This window comes from Homo sapiens, chromosome X (genome assembly GCF_000001405.40).
Source record: "Homo sapiens chromosome X, GRCh38.p14 Primary Assembly".
Taxonomy (NCBI): Eukaryota; Metazoa; Chordata; class Mammalia; order Primates; family Hominidae; genus Homo; species Homo sapiens.
This window is the reverse complement of record NC_000023.11, coordinates 24,370,733-24,372,533: the sequence shown is the minus strand read 5'-3', so window position 1 is coordinate 24,372,533 and position 1,801 is coordinate 24,370,733. Positions and strand designations below refer to the sequence as shown.

Here is a 1,801-nt window from a genome sequence, read left to right as displayed (position 1 = left end):
GAAGCATCACTTTTCCATATCAAAGAATGCGCTCCATAGCGAAGACAGGCGTAGAGAGCTAAAGTTTCTCAAGCTGCCTCCCGCTTCACACTGACTTTCTCAAGTCTTACAATAAACTCGTTAGAGTTTATCAGACTCACCCAAAACAGTCCTTCCAAAACCTGTCTCACCAGCCATAGGCCTCATCGCTTTTCCTTCTGCTCTTTCCCATTGGAAATTGGGAGGGCAAAGCCAGAGATCTTAAATAGGCAAGGATGGGAGAAGGCTGGGAAGCACTGTGTGTGTGTGTGCTCGTGCGTGTGTTCGCGCGTGCGTGTGTGCGTGCTTGTGTGCACGTGCGTGTGTGTGCTTGTGTATGTGCGTGCGTGTGTGTGTGTGCGCGCGCGCGCGCGTGTGTGTGTGGCGCTCACGCATGATAGGACTTTTCCTGTTGTCCCAGAGTTGCCAAAGGTGGAAACAAAAAGCATCAGGTGCTCCCACATCCTAACGAGGGGCTGCAACCAGCCAGCAGACACGTTCTCAGAGAGTACTAAGAGATGGCAGAACTGGCCCTATTTGGACTCTGACCGTTCCCTTCAACCACTCTTTTCCAGCCTCTGTAGCTACGGGAGGATGGGAAGGGGAGGGAGAGAAGTTGAGTGTTCCTGGGGTGGAGGGGGGAGCTTTTCTTTTCTTGGGACAGAGTAGGAAGGGGTGAGGAAAGGAGTGCTGGGACTCCCCTGCTCTCCCAAGCCAAGAGTTGTATGTAGAAGGGAGACCTCTAAGAGGGTCGCTCCTGGAGAGTCGGAGGTCTGCATGAAGGCAAAGTTGGCATCCAGTTTTACTGCCTGGGCTCGTGTGGAGCTGCACAGACCCGCAGGCCCACACTGGACCACCCTGGAGCCTTGGAAACTGTGGGCGAGCTTGACGCATATTCTTTGAGGGATGTGTTGTATGTGAACCTGGAGTCTGGTGCCCCCTTGTGGTCTAGAGACATCTGAACGTGAGCGGTTCAAAAGGTACTGAGGGGCGGTGTGCCCGGAAAGCAAATGGGAGCATCACTTCCACCTTGATCCCGTGAGCCCACAGCTTCTGAATTTGGAAAGGCTCCACAGGAAGGAGCACAGCAGGGCTTACTAAGAGAGCCGCTCTTCAAGAGGCCCCAGAGGAGTCAGAATCCAAGTGAAGTTCAACACCGTCGCCGCAGAAAAAAGAACCAGCCCCGTGCTCAGAGACCCTTCACCTCACTCAGCAAATCAGAGCATCACACCTGCAAAAGGACCATTTTCGCAGGAAGATTTCTCTCTCCCTTCTCTCGTCCTCCCCCACCCACCAGACCAGAGAATACGATATTGAAATTGTAATTGGGACTGTCAGCTTTACCAAACAAGAGAGCCCAGCAAGTCATGAGGTCCACCCAAGGTGTCATTAAAGGATGGGAAAAGGGACTTGGTGCTGCATGGTTGAAAGCAGTGGTTGGGAAAAATAAAATGGTTTCACCTGTATAGTCCACCACTGAGTTGAGACTCATCAATGCATCAGTTACATGTACCCAGGCACAAGGCATAGACTTCAGAAGCAGACAGAAAGGGAGCTGAAAAATTGTGCCACTTAATAGCTTTATTGCCTCAGGCAAGGACTATCTGAGCCTGTTTCTTCACTTGCAAGTAAGGATAATCATACCTAATGGACATTATGACTAGGTTATTAAAAGGATTAGAGGCAGCATATATAAATGAATAGAAGCTACTATTTATTGATGGATGTGTTGACACATGGAGGGGGCTGTTTCCAGTTTCCCAAGACAAAAGACAAATAAAAA

At 50.3% G+C, this 1,801-nt stretch overlaps 1 annotated feature.

The window, feature by feature from the left end:
* Positions 253-1,028: an enhancer, noted in NCBI's record as "OCT4-NANOG-H3K4me1 hESC enhancer chrX:24389623-24390398 (GRCh37/hg19 assembly coordinates)". NCBI's record gives its function as "activates a minimal SCP1, AML or CMV promoter by ChIP-STARR-seq in primed H9 embryonic stem cells {active_cell/tissue: H9 hESC(primed)}" and the evidence as "EXISTENCE:reporter gene assay evidence [ECO:0000049][PMID:30033119]".